Here is an 18,234-nt window from a genome sequence, read left to right as displayed (position 1 = left end):
TCCAAGTAAATTATTTCAGAAGAATCCATGAATCTCAGAATACAGAAGCAGCTTTCTTAAATATTCATTCAGTAGACTATTTACAAGCAGTGATTATTTAGTTGAATAAAAGCCTCTTTGGTGCCATTAACAGTCTTCTGAATTAAAAGATATGCTATTGACCTCAATTATTTCCTCCCACCGAAAAGACAGAGGTCGTATTTGTCCCTTGTTTATTTAGCACAGACATGAGACTAACAAAAGAATGTGAGCCTGCGTTAACAATTAAAGCAGGTCTATACTCAGTGAAACAACCAGAATATGGCCCATTTAATGATTCATTTGCATTGCAAAATAACTGCATTTAGCTAAAGCACAAACGGCAATAGATAAGATTTAGTACCCAACAGAAGCTAAGAGAAAATATTTTGGCCATGTCTGGGTTCAACTGTTTGATCATATCCAGATCATACCTGGAAAAGAGCTGAAAGAGTATCTGATAATGACAAAAGCAAAACCATAATACATGTATACACATACACATATAGATATACTGCAACTTTTAACTACTCATTATACAGGTCAGTCTAACAAATCTGCAGATGTAGCTAGCACCACTATTTTAAATTATTTCCTACTGAGATTAAAAAAAAAAAAACCAATGCTGCCTCTCAATGGTTCACATGTCTTAAAAAATATAACTTTACATATTTTAAAATTTCAAAGATTATGATTTAAATTCAAAATAAACCAATCCCTTAACATTCTAGGAATGACACTGGCATTTGACAAACTAACGTTGGGACTTCGGTGAATAACTTTTCCTCATAAATGTCTATATGTGCTGTTAAGTGCCCGTGAGATCCCCTCTAAATTACCAACATATTGTTTCAGGATTACCAATCGGTAGGACAACTTTTGCAATATTAACAAAGCTTGGTTTTCCATTTTCTGAAAACATATGCTGGTGTTTTGAAAATATAGACTCTTCCAGGTTATTTGTGGTCAAATTATCTACATATTCCTATTACCCTACGTCAGATCCATAACTACGCTTCCTACAATGAACAATGGAGGATAAAATGCAGAAAGAAGGTTCTTCTCCATCCCTCTATTTAAAGTTCATTCATCATGGACAGAGTTATTCAAACTTTTTCCTTTAACATTCACACAATTTAACATTCTCTATTATGGGACTTCGAGAAGAAAAAACTAAGCAATAGTTTTTATTATTATCTTATGGTTTCCTTTATAGTCTCCTTTTCCATGCTAATTTTAGCAAAGTTAATTATACGACAAAAGACTCTTGTTTGCTTTAGAAACGAGTTTTGACCACATATTGGTGTATAGCTTCATTTTACTTTTATGTCCTTACTCAAGAACCCAGGAGCATGATAGACATTTCTATCTAAAATCTGGTTTTAGATCCCATACAAAATGATTAATGCAGGTGTTAAACGGGGAAAATGTATGATTTACGTTTAAATTTCACTACAATTCTCACATGTTTTACATGTGACTATAAAACATTTCTCCACCAGGGACTCTAGCTCTTAACTTTGCTACCTCAAGATGAAAGCTGTGACTAACTAGAAAGCATTTTCATAAAGTAGTGGTAACTATCATGTCTACTCTAAATGCAAACTTTAGTGCTGTGATAATGAAAAGGTAAAAAGGTTAGATTATTGTTTGTCACTGAAGGCCAACCCTCTCACCTTCAAAAGGAAATTACATAACTAATTTTTGTGGTTTTAATGATAGAAAACATAGTACTAATTAACGTCTTTCCAAGATGAGAAAGCTTCAAAAATGCTTGTCAACAGGCTTTCTTCCATCATAGTATCTGGCCCACGAAAAATATTAGCAAAAATATGTATAATCCTGGAAATCTTATCAGAGTGCTGTGCATATTTCAGGTGCTCATATGTACACTGAATGAAACAAATAAGGGCCCTTAAGTAGTTCTGATTTTGAGGCTAATGCCTTAAACATAGAATTTTCATGTCTTTTGAGGAACATTGAATTTCCATCTTTTGAATAATGCAGTTCAAGTGAGCTCATCTAATATTTATCCAATTTTTTGCATTTTAATCTGAAAAATCAGTATATAACTTGAAGTGTGCATTTCTTTGGTCACTTGAAGAGGAAATAATATGAGAATAAATGAAAACAAGTTCTGCACAGAAATCATGTAATACTCAAAAGGTCAAGGAATAAGAGTTTCATATAATCATTATATTCAGTCCCACTTACACAAACAACAACAAATGAGCCAGAGACTCTAACAAAATCTTATCATTAAAACCACCACATGATTATTCATATGTTATTATCTGTACTTTGCACTCAGATTCAGTCATATAGATTTACTAGTGTATCAGCCTTTAGGTCTTTGAAAAATAACATTGAATGTACATCCTGCATTTCCTAAAGCATTTTATGGTGAACAATAACTTGAGTGCAAAAATGAGAAGAGATTCATCAGAATTTCAAAGTAAAACCCTATGCATCACCTAATTCTATTGAAAACGACGCTCATGGCAAATTTCACTTATCACTTGAAACATATTTCTGCCCTTGGATACCAGAAGCAAATTTAAAAACATGCTGTTGCTCTGCTATGGCGGAGCTGCAATGTGTTATGTTTAAATAGCTCAGCATTCAGATTTAGCTTGTTTCAAGTACAATATAGAATCAATACAATCGTAGAATTCATGGCAAAATGCATTAGTAATTGCCACTGGAATTGCTGTACTGAAATAGCATTAATAGGATAGCCAAATAACTTTAGAATATATTTTTTCAATGAAGACTTGTTTTCTGCAATGGTCAACTTATGAAATTTAAAACACATGACCTAAATAGTGTATGTGTGTGTACATGCATATGTATACACACAAAATATCACTGTGTGTGTATACATATATATACACACATATACACACATACAGTGATTTTATGAACTCTAGGTATTAAAAGCTTTTTCTTTACAGAAATGTAAAAGATGCATTTTGCTATTTCAAAAATACAATTTTTTCTTACCAAAAAAAAAAAAATCAAAGCTTAAGACTATATTTGGAAGTGCATTAGGAAGAGAACAGAGCAAAATACTCCACTAAAACACACAGTTTCCTAATAACAACAAGTCCTTTCAATGAACTTTACTTTCAAGTCTTGGGACTCACAAACAGATTTGATTAAAGCTCCTATTAGGTGACATCCTTTACATTAAATGAAGCTATACAATAGCAATTATGAGGCAGCTTAGTTTGCATCATATAAAATTATGAAAAAAGCTAACTGCGAATTAAAAAATATGGCTAAAAGTTTCATGCAAGTAGACACCAGACATGTAGCTTTAATGTAAACTTAAGCTGTGACTATACTAAGTTGTACCTTCTTCAAAATCCGAAATTTTCATCTAACAAACCACATTTTGGTGGAATATCTGCAAAATGCAGTCGATTTTTAGTATGTACACAAAAGCTCAGGACTGGACTGGATTACCTCAGAGCTTTGTATCCTTTGTCTTGCTTGTAATAATGGAAACGTCCCATTTCTAATGATGAATAGTTTAAAAATATATACTTAATACTAAATGTATAACATATATAAATTGTCTTCTGAACAGTCTATATGAGTACAATGAGGTAATCTGAAGAGCTGAGGTTTGTTTATTTTTAAGCAAAATGATGCTAAGCTCATTGCTCATTCTGTTGGAGCTAGAAAAATCTCCCTACTTACAGATTTGGCAGTGGCAGAAATATACTGGACAACCATCTCACGTTTGGTGGTAAAGTCTTTGTTTCGTAAAGGAGCTTTTTTCTCTTCGTTAAGGTTCATGTCCTCCTGTAAGAGATAACATTTACTGTGGGCATTGATAAATTTCCACTTAAGAGCTTCAAAAGTGATTAGTAAACATTAATAATTTCTATGTCTTAAAATACTAATTCATGTGGTGACTAATGTCAAAAATCCTTTTTTGGGATACTTCGCTATTATTTTTCACTCTAGATACCACAGTTTTGTGTAAATTCTACCATGTATTCACGGTTCACATCTCTACCTAGCCAACTACTGAGCAGAAAGAAAAAAATATTTTTAAAACTATTCCACAGAATAAATTGGCAGTTTATAACATAGATATACATGGTATCTATGCTAACAAAGCTCTTTATTTATCTTGATAGCAAATACACACACAAAATGCTGTTTGGCATATGCTCCCTTAGGATCATTATTACCTGGGAAAGCAAATACAATTTGCAAATTGTCAGGGTCTATATATCTATAATATGTCACTGAAGAAAGTTCACAAGAAGTTGTTGGATTTGGAAAAGAAAAAAAAGCAGAAACAGCGGTATTGCGGTAATAAATGTCACTCATTAGAAGGAAAAGTATTCAGTTACAAGAACACATTGTTTTGAGGTTCAATAAACTTTAATTCAGTTGGAAATCTACCTTTATTTTGTGATATATACACTTATAACACTTTGATTAGACAAATTGTTTTTCTTCATTTTGAAATTCATGGTAATCCTTGTGACATATGAAGACACCCTTGACAGGGTCACAAAACCAAGTTGGAAATGGCTGTGCCTCAAAATGCAACACCAAATGAAAAGTCAATCTACAGAATAGGTGAAAATGGTTACAAATCATATGTCTGATATAGATGTGTACCCAGATATACAAAGAACTTTTACAACTCAATAATAAAAAGACAAGAGTCCAGTAACAAATGAGCAAAACACTTGAATAGGCATTTTTCTAAAGAAGATATACAGGCCAGGCACGGTGGCTCACACCTGTAATCCCAGCACTTTGGGAGGCCAAGGCGGGTGGATCACGAGGTCAGGAGATCGAGACCATCCTGGCTAACACGGTGAAACCCCATCTCTACTAAAAATACAAAAAATTAGCCAGGCGTGGTGGCGGGTGCCTGTAGTCCCAGCTTCTCAGGAAGCTGAGGCAGGAGAATGGCGCAAACCCAGGAGGCAGAGCTTGCAGTGAGCTGAGATCACACCACTGCACTCCAGCCTGGGTGACAGAGCAAGACTCCATCTCAAAAAAAAAAAAAAAAAAAAAAAAGATATATAAATGGCCAATAAGCACAGGAAAAGATATTCAACATCATTAATCTGTGGGGAAATGCAAATCAAAACCACAGTGAGATACTACTTCACTTCTACTAGGATAACTAGAAAAAAAGAGGAAAATAATAAATGTTGGCAACGAATTGAAAAAATTGGAACCCTCACACATTGCTGGTGGGAAAGAGAAATGATACAACCACTTTGGAAAACAGTCTGGCAGTTCCTCCAAAAGTTAAACAGATTTATCTACCATATGACCCAGCTTACATACCTAAGCAAAATGAAAACATATGTCCATACAAAAACTTGCACACGAATGTTCATAGCAGCATTATTGATAATAGCCAAGGAGTAGAAACAATCCAAACATCCATCAATTGACGAATGGATAAACAAAATGTGGCATATCATACAATGAAATATTATTCAGCTCTAAAAAGGAATGAAGTACTGATACATGCTATAACCTGGATGAATCTTGAAATCACATTATGCTAAGTGAAAGAAGCATTATAAAAGACCATATATTCTATGATTCTATTCATATTAAATGTCCCAAATAGGCAAATTTATAGGGACAAAAAATAAATTAGAGGTTGCCAGGGCCAGGGGAGAAGAGGAGGGAGTTTGGATTCTGACTGATTATGGGTATGGTGTTTCTTTATGGGGTGATACAACTGTTCTCAAAGTTGTTGTGCTAGTTTCACACTCTTTGAATATACAAAAAAAAAATTATGAATTTGGCCACGCACAGTGGCTCACGCCAAAGTCCTAGCACTTTGGGAGGCCCAAGAAGGAGGATCACTTGGGCCCAGGAGTTTGAGACCAGCCTGGGCAACATAGCAAGACCTCGCTTCTATAAAAACTTTTAAAAAATTACCTGGACATGGTGGTGTGCACCAGCAGTCCCAGCTACTTGGGAGACTGAGGCAGGAGGGTCGCTTGAGACCAGGAGGTAGAGGTTGCAGTGAGCTGTGTTCCTGTCACTGCACTCCAGCCTGGAAATCTGAGCAAGACCCTGTCTCCAAAAAAAAAAAAGGAAGAAAGAAAGAAAAAGCAAAAAAAAGAGCACATTGTAAAAGGGTGAATTTTATGGTATGTGAATCATATCTAAATTTTTTAAGAAAACAAATCAGTATTTTTATCCCTTTACTCTTACAGAAATTCTGAGCATTCTATTTTTTTTTTTGATAAAGTAAATAAACTAATTGGCGAAGAACAGTATCAATGTTATTTTATTTTATTTTACTTTTTGAGATGGAGTTTCCCTCTGTCGCCCAGGCTGGAGTGCAGTGGCGCGATCTCGGCTCACTGCAAGCTCCACCTCCCAAGTTCAAGTGATTCTCCTCCCTCAGCCTCCCGAGTAGCTGGGACTACAGGCGCCCGCCACCATGCCCGGCTAATTTTTTGTATTTTTAGTAGAGACAGGGTTTCACTGCATTAGCCAGGATGATCTCGATCTCCTGATCTCATGATCCACCCACCTCGACCTCCCAAAGTGCTGGGATTACAGGCGTGAGCCACCACGCCTGGCATCAAAGTTATTTTAAAGATGCATATGTGAGAATGTGGAAGACAATCCTCAAAAGTAGACAAATTGCATCTATCTATTGAATAATAACTTTGTTGACAGCAAAAATCTATATTTGCAACCACTGCAGCAACTCCTATGATGATTCATTCATAGTCAATACCTATAAATTTTGTGTATATATACATGACCTTTCTTCCTAATTATCTGGATCACTGTCCCTATCCCCACTTTTCTATCTAATGTTATTTCTCATTTGGATATTTTACTTGTTAATGACTTACTAGAAGGCAGAAGACATCTTTTTCATCTCTCTCTCATAGGCTCTGGCATTGTTGAATCACAGTAGAATCACAGAAACTAGGTTGGATAGCACTCATAATGTGGTCCACAGATGCTCATCTATGTTCTGTATCTATTTCCTTTTTTTTTTTTTTTTTTTTTTTTTTTTTGAGGTGGAGACTTGCTCTGTTGCCCAGGCTGGAGTGCAGTGGCCTGATCTTGGCTCACTGCAACCTCCGCTTCCCAAGTTCAAGCGATTCTCCTGCCTCAGCCTCCCAAGTAGCTGGGATTACAGGCACGCACCACCACACCCAGCTAATTTTTTTGTATTTTTAGAGACAGAGCTTTGCCAGGTTGGCTGGGGTGGTCTCAAACTCCTGGCCTCAAGTGATCCACCCGCCTCGGCCTCCCAAAGTGCTGGGATTACAAGCGTGAGCCACCACACCCAGCATATGTATCTATTTCAACTGACAGTGTACTCCCTACGTCCTCAGACAGCCCCACTCATCTTAGGGTAGTTTAATTTTTGCCAAATTTTTCCTTCAATGATTGGACATGAAATATGTACAACAAAATAATGTGTGTTAAGGTGGGTGGCATGACCTTTTTTCTTCTCTTTTAAAATTCTGAATCACTTATTTACTGAACACATACTACACACCAGAAACTATGCTAGGCTGTCTAATCTGGTAGACTGTTTTTATACTCAAATTACATATTATTTATAAAGCACTTAGAACAATGCCTGATACTTAGTAAATGCTATATATGTTTGTTGAATAAATAATTTATGGTCCAGTAGTAACAAATAATTCTAACTGAGGCATGTATCAGATTCTTTGGAAACACAGGGCAGATGGAAAGGTCAGAGAAGTCTTCACCAGGTTGTGGGTCTCAAAGGATGAAAAAAATCTGACTGGAAGGAAGGAGACCGGTCAGGAAACTCTAGCGGTCATGTGTCATTTTTTGCTGCTCAACATCACTTGAACATACCCTCTACAATTTAATACATCCTCACATTGTCAGTCCCACCTGACAAAGGTAGAATCCATAAAAACTACATTTGTCAGTCTCCCTTTTAACTAGAGTGCAGGCATGTGGCTTAGTCTCCACCAATAAAATGCATGCATAGGAGGTGTAGATTTAGAAGTGAACTATGTGAGGAAGCAGGCCACGAATAGGCCATTCATTTTGCTGATGTAGGTGGCAACAGAGGTGATGTTGTTACAGAACTGATGGCATTAACTGTGTCTTTTTCATTAAGACATTTTGATCAAATAGTTCTGGGATAAGAGCTCCTTAATTGGAACTGTATTTCAGTTGTGTGGTTCTGGAAGTTAGTCCTATAATGTTATCTAGAGCCTGTTTCTGCAACTCTGTTAATTCAAGACTACGTAATATCCTCTAAAATTATATTCTATTTAAACCTGCCAGAGTGGATTTTTCTTATGTTCAATAATTTGGGCTGAAGTAATTTAAGTGACTAGAGATAAGAGTCGAACTAAGAAGAAAACTCAGATTGGACAGAAGGAAATTAATTCAAGAGCCACATAAATGTTATTTGAAGACCACATTCCTTCTTTCAGGCTAAAGTACTCAACTTATCTTCATGTAACATGGGTTGGTGTCCACATCTCTCTCTCTCTCAAATACTCTGTGGTTTAACAAATGCAAGGTAGGAAAGAATGTCCACCTCCCTCACCTTGAAATACTTACACCTCTGTTAATTCACCCTCTTGATTTTATTATCTTACTGGCCAAGTACATCATTCTGCTGACTCATATTGTTTTTGTTTTCATCAAAATCCCTATGTTCTGCTCACATATGCTGGGCTATGTCTCTATTGCCTAAAAAAATTCTGGTTAAATTTCAGTCTCCTGTAAATGTGGTTATCATCAATCCGCAACCTCCAAGTAGAATCAACTCTGGAACAGTGACAAGATTAAGTGTCTGTATTTGTATACTTCACAGCCTGGCCTAAGAGTGTGGTGGCGTCACCTTTGGCAGTCTCTAGGTAGAGAGTTTCTCTGCTTCCAGTGACATTTCTACATTACCGTGTACCCATTCAGTTTTTAATGGCACACACTGCTGATATCACGCCATCACAGAATTATTTTGTAGGGAGGCAGGCAGGACAATAAGAGCAATGTAAGATTATACACCTCAGAGGAATGTTGTCAAGACTGGGTGTGATCATGCATGACAAGCCTGGTGTATATTAACTAGCTTTCAAAGAATGCTAGCTATTAGCGTTATCACCTCCCAACCTCAGCCTTTTAACCGCTTTTCATCTTACCCCTTATGTTTTAATAATGTTAGGTTGTTTGTAGTTTTGCTACATAAACTGTGTTGTTACACACTCATTATTTTGCTCATGATGCGCTGTTCTCCCTGCCTGAAATGTGGTCATCTTTACCATCCTCTCCATCTGTTAATGCCCATCCTTGCCCCCTCCAAATTCACATCTGGCTATTATACTTCAAGACTGTGCTCAACCACTAATTTTTCAGGAAGACTTCTCCTAAAGCACCTGATTTGAAAATAATTACCCTTATCCTAGTCTTCCATATTAATTCCTTATGTGTCACTTACATTGAAATTATGTGATAAATCTATCTCTTCTAAACTCGAAGCTGAAAATAGGAACTTACTTATCTTTGTACTCCTAGCAAAGAGCATAATTCCTGGAATGCAGTAAACATTTAATAAATATTTGTTGAACCAATGTGATATTTAAGACCTTTTCTTTAAATATATTAACTTGCTTTAGAATCAGCAACAGTTTTTTATACTTATAAATTTGCTGCATAGGTTGATTGGAAATGAGTATCATTCATGTGAAAAGACCATAATGACTCATTTTATTCTATAGAAATAAGATACATTCTACTAATTAGGCAGCTAACACTTCCAAATCATTAACTCCAGATCCATAATACAATAATAAAGCTAAATAGAGCAATATTCATAATTCAATATTAACTCTAAACAGCGTAATTGAATATGAAACTATTTCTAAACATACTGATTTCTTATGGTATTCAAAACAAAAGCAAGCTTTTAGCATGTTTAACATTTGATATATCTATAATACATGAGAAAAAATGTAGTATTTTGTGATTTTAAAAAACACTGAAGTCGGCCGGGCGCGGTGGCTCACGCCTGTAATACCAGCACTTTGGGAGGCCGAGGCGGGCGGATCACGAGGTCAGGAGATCGAGACCATCCCGGCTAAAACGGTGAAACCCTGTCTCTACTAAAAATACAAAAAATTAGCCGGGCGTAGTGGCGGGCGCCTGTAGTCCCAGCTACTTGGGAGGCTGAGGCAGGAGAATGGCGTGAACCCGGGAGGCGGAGCTTGCAGTGAGCCGAGATCCCGCCACTGCACTCCAGCCTGGGCGACAGAGCGAGACTTCGTCTCAAAAAAAAAAAAAAAAAAACAAAACACTGAAGTCTAGTTGACCATTTATAATGTTATTTTTATTATTTTTTCTTTATTATTATTATTATTTTTTTTGAGACAGAGTCTCGCTCTTCCACCCAGGCTGGAGTGCAGTGTCGAGATCTAGGCTCACTGCAAGCTCCGCCTCCCGGGTTCACGCCATTCTCCTGCCTCAGCCTCCCGAGTAGCTGAGACTACAGGCGCCCACCACCACGCTCGGCTAATTTTTTGTATTTTTAGTAGAGACTGGGTTTCACCGTGTTAGCCAGGATGGTCTCGATCTCCTGACCTCGTGATCCGCCTGCCTCGGCCTCCCAAAGTGCTGGAATTACAGACTTGAGCCACCGCGCCCAGCCTATAATGTTTTTAAAGCCACATTTGTAAATACTAAACCATTTTTTTATGCTTCTCATATGCCATGATACAATTTCCTATTATAGACAAATTCCTTCACTTCAGCAAACATTATATTCTTAAAGCTATTACTGAGAAGCCATAAGAATAGGATCAAATGAGAAGGTCAAAAGTTGAACCAGCTGCCTATTCATTCATTTGTATTCTCATTCATTCATTCTTCAATTCTCAGTCATTCGTCATTTTTCTCCGCAATAATTAGAATGTTATACTCAAATCCAGTACCTTAGTGATACTTTGTAAACTTAATGATATGTGTTTAGAAGCTTCTCATGAATTTTCTTTAATAACAACTGACAAAAGGTACCATGGCATTAGAGAAACACTTGGTAAAAGCAGCTGAAACAATCCATGCAAAACAACATGGCAGGAAGCTGAAGTACATTTCTTTGTCAGCAAATACTGACGTATCAGAAGACACGTATAGATCATTACTGAAAATTTGCTAAAGCAAGTATTTAAGCAATTAGTGTAGGAGGTTTACTATACAGTTGGATAAAAATATAACCTTTTTAAAAACACCTCACCTTATAGTATTTGCTAGATTGTTTCCATAATGACATATATAAACTACTTTTCTTTGTGTCACCGTTAGAACAATTTAACAGAGAAAACACATAACCAAAATAAATGATTTATTTAATAAAAAGAGGTTTTGTGGAAAAACTATGAGGGAAGGATTCCTGAGTCAGGTAAACCTACACGTAAAATTCAAGGCCATTGCAAGAAGTTGAAACTGAAGTATACAGAATACTACAGAGTCAAGAAGATTGTTCTTCTTTAAATAAAAGCAAGATATTTCAAATACAATAAAATATTTACAATATTTTGAAATGAAATAGGAAGTTAACATGAAAACCAGAGATATTTCTGGTTATTTCAAGATAAAGTATTTTAAAACTGTCGAAATTAGCCAGGCACAGTGTCATGCCTGTAATCCCAGCACTTTGGGAGGCCAAGGCGGGCGGATCACCTGAGGTCAGGAGTTCGAGACCAGCCTGGCCGACATGGCAAAACCCCATCTCTACTAAAAATACAAACATTAGCCAGGCGTAGGAGGCTGAGGCAAGAGAATCGCTTGAACCCAGGAGGCAAAGGGTGCAGTGAGCAGAGATCGCGCAGCTGCACTCCAGCCTGGGTGACAGAGTGAGTTTCCATCTCAAAAAAAAAAAAAAAAAAAAAAAACTTGAAATATAGCATGAGTTAGGCATTTTTCATTTACAAAAAGTGAAGAAATTCCTTGACGTTTTAACAATTAGTAAGAAAGTAACTCCTTTTCAAACCTACTTTACTGGAAAAGCCACACAGACAGACCCAGCTTCCAAGTCAGTCCCAACAGACTCAACTTCCAAGTCAGTCCCCTTCACCCTTGCTTGAATTACTTCCTCTTTCTTCCTGGTGTTAGATGTACTGTCTGGAACAGGCATGAGTACACAAACATGAGGATGAGGGTCTACACATTAATAATGTAGAAGAAAAAATGGAAAGAGCCCATCTTCCCAATGGCACTTGTTGAAGACCCATTTATTAAAGTCCAATTTAAACCCATTTATTTAGAAATATAAAAATGCAACACCCCAGATTAGTTGCAAGAATAACTGGCTGTCATCAAGTAAGACAGGAATTTACTAGTCATGGTTCAGCAGGAAATCTTTGCTTGATTCATGGATTGGTCTGATAAAAGTTAATACTACAATTTAGTAAGTTGCTAATGGTGCATTTGTTCGATTTGGACCTACAAATCTTTGTCAGATTTATGTTTCAATTATGAGAGAAATTAAACCAAATATCAAAATAAAATGAACTTGGAGCTAAACTTTCTAATTACCGCCTATTTTTAAGCAAGACATAAAAAAATGACATAGTGACACTGTTCTCACTAAAAAGTTATTAATCATGACAGCAAAGACTTCTGTATGATTAAGAAATAAACTAATTTTAAATCATTTTAAAATCTTGTTCATGTTTTTCTCATTTTTACTGTGTATATTTTGTAATGTACATATTAATATTAGTACATACATGCATGTATATAATGTTTAAAATATATTAGGGCTACTTACTCAAACATATATATATATATATATATATTTTTTTTTTTTTTTTTTCTGATGGGGTAGGAAATAAAAGGTTTAGAGACTCTTGGACTAGTCCAGAGGTTGGCAAACTTTTTCTGTAAATTGCCAGACAGTAAATATTTTAGGTTTTGCAAACTATATAATCTTTGTCTCAACTACTCAACTCTACTGTAGCACAAAGGAGCTATAGACAATACATAAACAAATGGGCGTGGATACATTCAGCAAAACTTTATTTGTGGACACTGAAATTCATATAACTTTCATGTGCCCTGAAACAGTCTTTTTTTGGGTAACAATTTAAAAATATAAAACCATTCTTAGTCAGCAGGATATACAAAATAAAAACCTTGTGGCAGGGATAGTACCTTTGACATCTTTATGTCTGCTGTACCTAACAAAGTATCTGGCATTCAGTAGAGAGTTGTCAAATAAACTTCACCATGACACAGATATTTGTCTTTTCCTTTTCTTTTATAACTCCACCTTATGTTCCAGTATATCACCCTTGCCAGAACATAAGCTCCTTGATGGCAGGGATTTTCTTTAAGTTGTTCACTGCTCTCTTCTCAGACCTTAAAACAGTATTGGGCATATGGAAGGCATGGGACTTTGATGAACTAAACTGTTCAAATTTTGAGAACATTTATGCCAAAAAATAAAGACGGATAATTCAGAAGTAACACTGGGTTTCACAGTGTATTTAGGTGGTGTTCTCTGCTTCCATCCTGAGCCCCTACACAGGGCTAAGTTCCCACAGTAGCCTATTCACAGCTATCCTAGTGCTATGGAAATAATTTATGTACTTTTCTCCCTGAGTAAACACTGAGCTCTCTGAGGGTAAGGGAGGTGTTGCATTCATCTTTACACTTCCAACATGTAGCATCCTACCTGGCACATTGCACATATGAATAAATAGTTGCTTAAATACACTCATGCAAATAAATACTAGTAGAATCCTTCAAAACAGAAGAAATATTTTTGAAAGCATTTCTCTGTACAAATCAAGAACAGAGCCAAGTTTTTAAAAAATCATGCTCGGCAATAAAATTAAAAATTGACCCAGATTTAGTTACCTTTTAGATCTGTTTACTGGGTAAGTTTTGCTCCTCTTTTATAAGCTCGTCATAGGAGTTTTATAAGAAAATAAAACATGTTGTCTAGAAATGCTTCTGGCATTATCTCCGTCTAATGATATGGAGTAAGGATATTGAAAATGTAAATATAACCTATGGATATTATGCTGTCTAGACAATTTCTGAGATTCTAATCATTTCTGACAACTATTTCCATGGCTTATTATAGATTTTAAGACCTAGTTTACCAATAATTTATTTTGTGCTACCTTAAACTATTAATTAAAATTACTTATTCTGAGGGCATGAAAAGATTCATCCAAGCTAACTAACTTCTAAAAGACTAGGGTTGGGTGAGAAAGAAACCTATAATAGCAGTCAGTGGAGAACAAGGATGCTTGGGTTAATGTATAACACCTGGTGTTCAAGCACAACTATTCTCTCTAAATTAATGAAAGAGAAAAGTGAGAGAACAAAAATTAAAAGGTTTGGGATTACTTATGAGAGTTCTAGCAGATGGAATAATTTAGTATTTATTGCATATAACTATTATCATTAAATTATGACAAAAATGCAAAGTATATTAATATAAATTGCTGAATAGAAAAGAGTGTAAAACATCAAATTTGCATGTATAATCATATATTAAACATTACCTTTAACAAATTAGGTTGAAATGAAATATGGCTAGAGGTTAATCATAAATCATTACTAGCCTCATCTTTTGCATAAGACAAACTATTTAATTACCTATATCAGAACACAGTCCTTATTGACGTATCTATATGTTGCCAATGCAACCTGAACCTCCACTTGGGAGTTCCTTGTGCTGCTAATAGAAATCAAATTCCAACATGAACTCCCAAGAAATTTCTATGGGTTTACTTTTTTAATCTTAAAATGAAAATCTCCCCTCTCCCAACACCCCTCTCCCCAAAAAGAACTCTAATTGCATAATTCAGTCTAGATGAAAACACTAATAAGCATTTAACAGTCCCTAAGCAGTATACTCAATGTACAAAAACCAGATCAGTTATTCTCAGCAAGCTCAAAGGTTATGACAACTTAAAATATTGAAGAGTTACTCAATTACAGCATTATTAATTTCCTTACATTTAAAGTGGAATTGAGGAGATATTTCATCCAATCCTAATTAGAGGCAATATAAAATGCTTCTGATCAATATGAGAAGAGTTACGAATATGAACCGCTTTAGTTCAGTCATCTTTAAAAGTCACTAAATATAGGCTGGGTACAGTGTAACCCCCAGCACTTTGGGAGGCCAAGTCAGTAGGAATGCTTGAGCCCAGGAGTTCAAGATCAGCCTGGGCAAAATAGCAAGACCCACACTCTACAAAACAATTAGGCAGGCATGGTGGCACGTGCATACAGTCTCAGCTACTCAGGATGCTGAGGTGGGAGGATTGTGTGATCCCAGAAGGTCAAGGCCACAGTGAGCCATGATCACACCACTGCACTACAGCCTAATGGACACAGCAAGACTCCATCTCGAAAAAACAAACAAACAAAAAAAACAAAAGAAAAAAAAAGTTACCAATAATAATAACATGGAAGGAGTATTGTTTTCATCCTACTACCTTTACCCACTTGTGGAAGATTTGAAAACATGACTCTGGGTATGGGAGGGAGACAAGAATCTTAAAGAGCAAGTGTGATTTACCCCATGCAGGTAATTTTATCAATCTTATAAAAGCAGTGGTTTTAATTCTTGAAAACTTTAGTAAAAGAACCACTTCTCAATTTTCAGTTAGTAGTTGGTAACCATACTCTAAATACAAAATTCACTTTTACAAACTATGAAAGACACTCTCTTAATAAAGAGCTTATATTCTATAAAATAAACAATCATCAAGAAATTTCAAAGCCAGGTGCCGTGGCTCATACCTATAATCCCAGCACTTTGGAGGCCAAGGCAGGAGGATGTCTTGAGCCTAGGAGTTGGAGACCAGCTTGGGCAACATGGCAAAACCTCATCTCCACAAAAAATAAACAAAAAAATCACGTTTATTTGGCACATGCCTGTAGTCCCAGATACTTGGGAGGCTCAAGTGGGAGGAGGGCTTGAGCCGAGGAGTTTGAGGCTGCTGTGACCCATGATACAACCTGGACAACAGAGCAAGGTCCTGTCTCTAAACAAAAAAATAAATAAATATTTATTTCAAATTTGGAACTTTAAACTTGCCAGCAATAGCCATTGATACCATTACTTAGAAAGTCCCTTTAAAATTGCATCATTGAATAAGCACAATATGAAAAGTGATGCACCAATGCACAGAATAGATGCCAGAGTCAATGAGACATTAGTAGTCTACTAATACACTAGTAAAACCAGACTACTCAGATCTTTCAGTTAACTGGACTCATTTCACAATTTTTCTTAGCTATGAAGAATCAAGTGATTTGTGAAATGATCTATTAGTAATTAAGTAAAAACAGCTACCTTCTTTTAGAAAAAACATATCCTGCAGTAATTTTAGATTTAGCTCAATTATCTACATCTACAAGCCTATCCAATGAGAACTGCTGTTGATAGATGTGATCCTCAGGTATAACAAGAGTTTCAATTTTCAGAGTAAGAAAGGATTATATTTGAATATTATCTTTTGTTAAGTTTTTAACCAAAAGTTTCACCAATACATCATTACCCAGAAATTCTAAATAGTAAATTGTAAGGTAATTTATTTCTTGTCAAGTGTCTCATATATTATTACTGTGCATAATCTCATGCTATGTGCTGCAATTATTTAAAACGTTTTGGCTGGGCACGGTGGCTCATGCCTGTAATCCCAGCACTTTGGGAGGCTGAGGCTGGCAGATCACCTGAGGTCAGGAGTTCAAGATCAGCCTTACCAACATGGAGAAAACCCGTCTCTAATAAAAATCCAAAATTAGCCAGGCATGGTGGCGCGTGCCTGTAATCCCACCTACTCGGGAGGCTGAGACAGGAGAATCGCTTCAACCCAGGAGGTGGAGGTTGCAATGAACCAAGATCGCGCCATTGCACTCCAGCCTGGGCAACAAGAGCAAAACTCCATCTCAAAAAAAAAAAAAAAAGTTTTACACCTCAAAGTATGTTATCCTAAAATACATATATAGTATTGAAACCAAATGGTCTAAACCTTTGTAGTTCTCTAAAGTCAGAAAAGCCAATCAAGAGAAACAGCACAATAAAGCTACCATCAAAAGACCCAGAAGAAGGAAGATTGTCATAAGAGCCATCAAATACGACAAGAACACCTTTTACGTTATTTGTACAAGGAAAGACACCCACAAGGAGTGAAATAAAAAAAGATAAATTTCATATCTGGAAGTCTACTTCCGTGTTTTAGAAACAGAATGACTTAAGTGCTTTCTCCCAATCAACTGTGATAATGACATTTTTAACAGTTTTCCATTGCTAGATTTTTGGACTCATTCTTCTCAATTGATGCTCCATAAAAAGCAATTACAGACAATGTTCCATTATCAGTAGGAAATAATCCATCCCAGGCTGGCTTTACCTACCACTCTAATGTACCTCTGATTTGCCTTCTACTTCTCCTCACTATGTGTGCAAGGAAAATGTACTAATTTTATATTTAGTTTAAATGAAGCATTATTAAAGGCAGATGTTACAAAAAGTCAATGTTTTAGATTTTTATGTACCTAAATTTAAGTTTCGGCTCAGCTACTTACTAGCTTAGTCAAGTTAATGAACCAATTTTCTTGCCTCTCTCTAAGCTTCACTTTCCTCATCTGAAAATGGGGTATAACAATCTTACTTACTTTGTGGCACTGTCATAAGGATCAATTGAAATAATACACTTAAATGTTTTAGTTTCATGCCTTAGGCATAAGTATACAGTAGATGAAAACTATAGTTATTCATAAAATAATTTGTTCACTGTAAGGTTATTACCGTCAAACTAATATAGAAAATACGCAATATTCAGGGTATAAGTAGACTTCTCTCAAAGTAGAGAGATAATCTTTAAAGTTTTCAGTTTAACTTTTGGTTGTTACTTTTAATCAAACCATATTTCTCTGATATCCTATTATATTATACTGTTATTTAAAAATAATATATGTCCATTTATAAATAAGTTTTTTTAATTGACAGATAAAATTGTATGCATTTAGCATGTACAGCACAATGTTTTGAAGTATATACTCACTGTGGGATGACTAAATCTAGCTAATTAATATGTGCATTACCTCACATGGTTGTGATTTTTGTGGTGAGAACACTTTACATCTACTCTTAGCATTTTTCAAAAATACAATAGTCACCATGTTGTATAATAGATCTCTTGAAGTTATTCCTCTATCTAACTG

At 35.8% G+C, this 18,234-nt stretch overlaps 1 protein-coding gene across 2 annotated transcripts in view; it reads right to left on the bottom strand.

Annotated features, from left to right (window-relative positions):
* The window catches only part of DIAPH2 (diaphanous related formin 2), a 920,156-nt gene that overhangs the window by 843,016 nt on the left and 58,906 nt on the right, over window positions 1–18,234 (bottom strand). For both annotated transcript variants that reach the window (NM_006729.5, NM_007309.4), the window contains exon 4: window positions 3,724–3,828. In NM_006729.5, coding sequence (NP_006720.1) covers window positions 3,724–3,828 — 105 coding nt within the window. The remainder of the gene's footprint in view (window positions 1–3,723; window positions 3,829–18,234) is intronic.

The sequence above is a fragment of the Homo sapiens genome, chromosome X, assembly GCF_000001405.40.
Source record: "Homo sapiens chromosome X, GRCh38.p14 Primary Assembly".
NCBI classification, from domain to species: Eukaryota; Metazoa; Chordata; class Mammalia; order Primates; family Hominidae; genus Homo; species Homo sapiens.
Note: the sequence above shows the minus strand (reverse complement) of the source record. Positions and strands in the feature narration are given on the sequence as shown.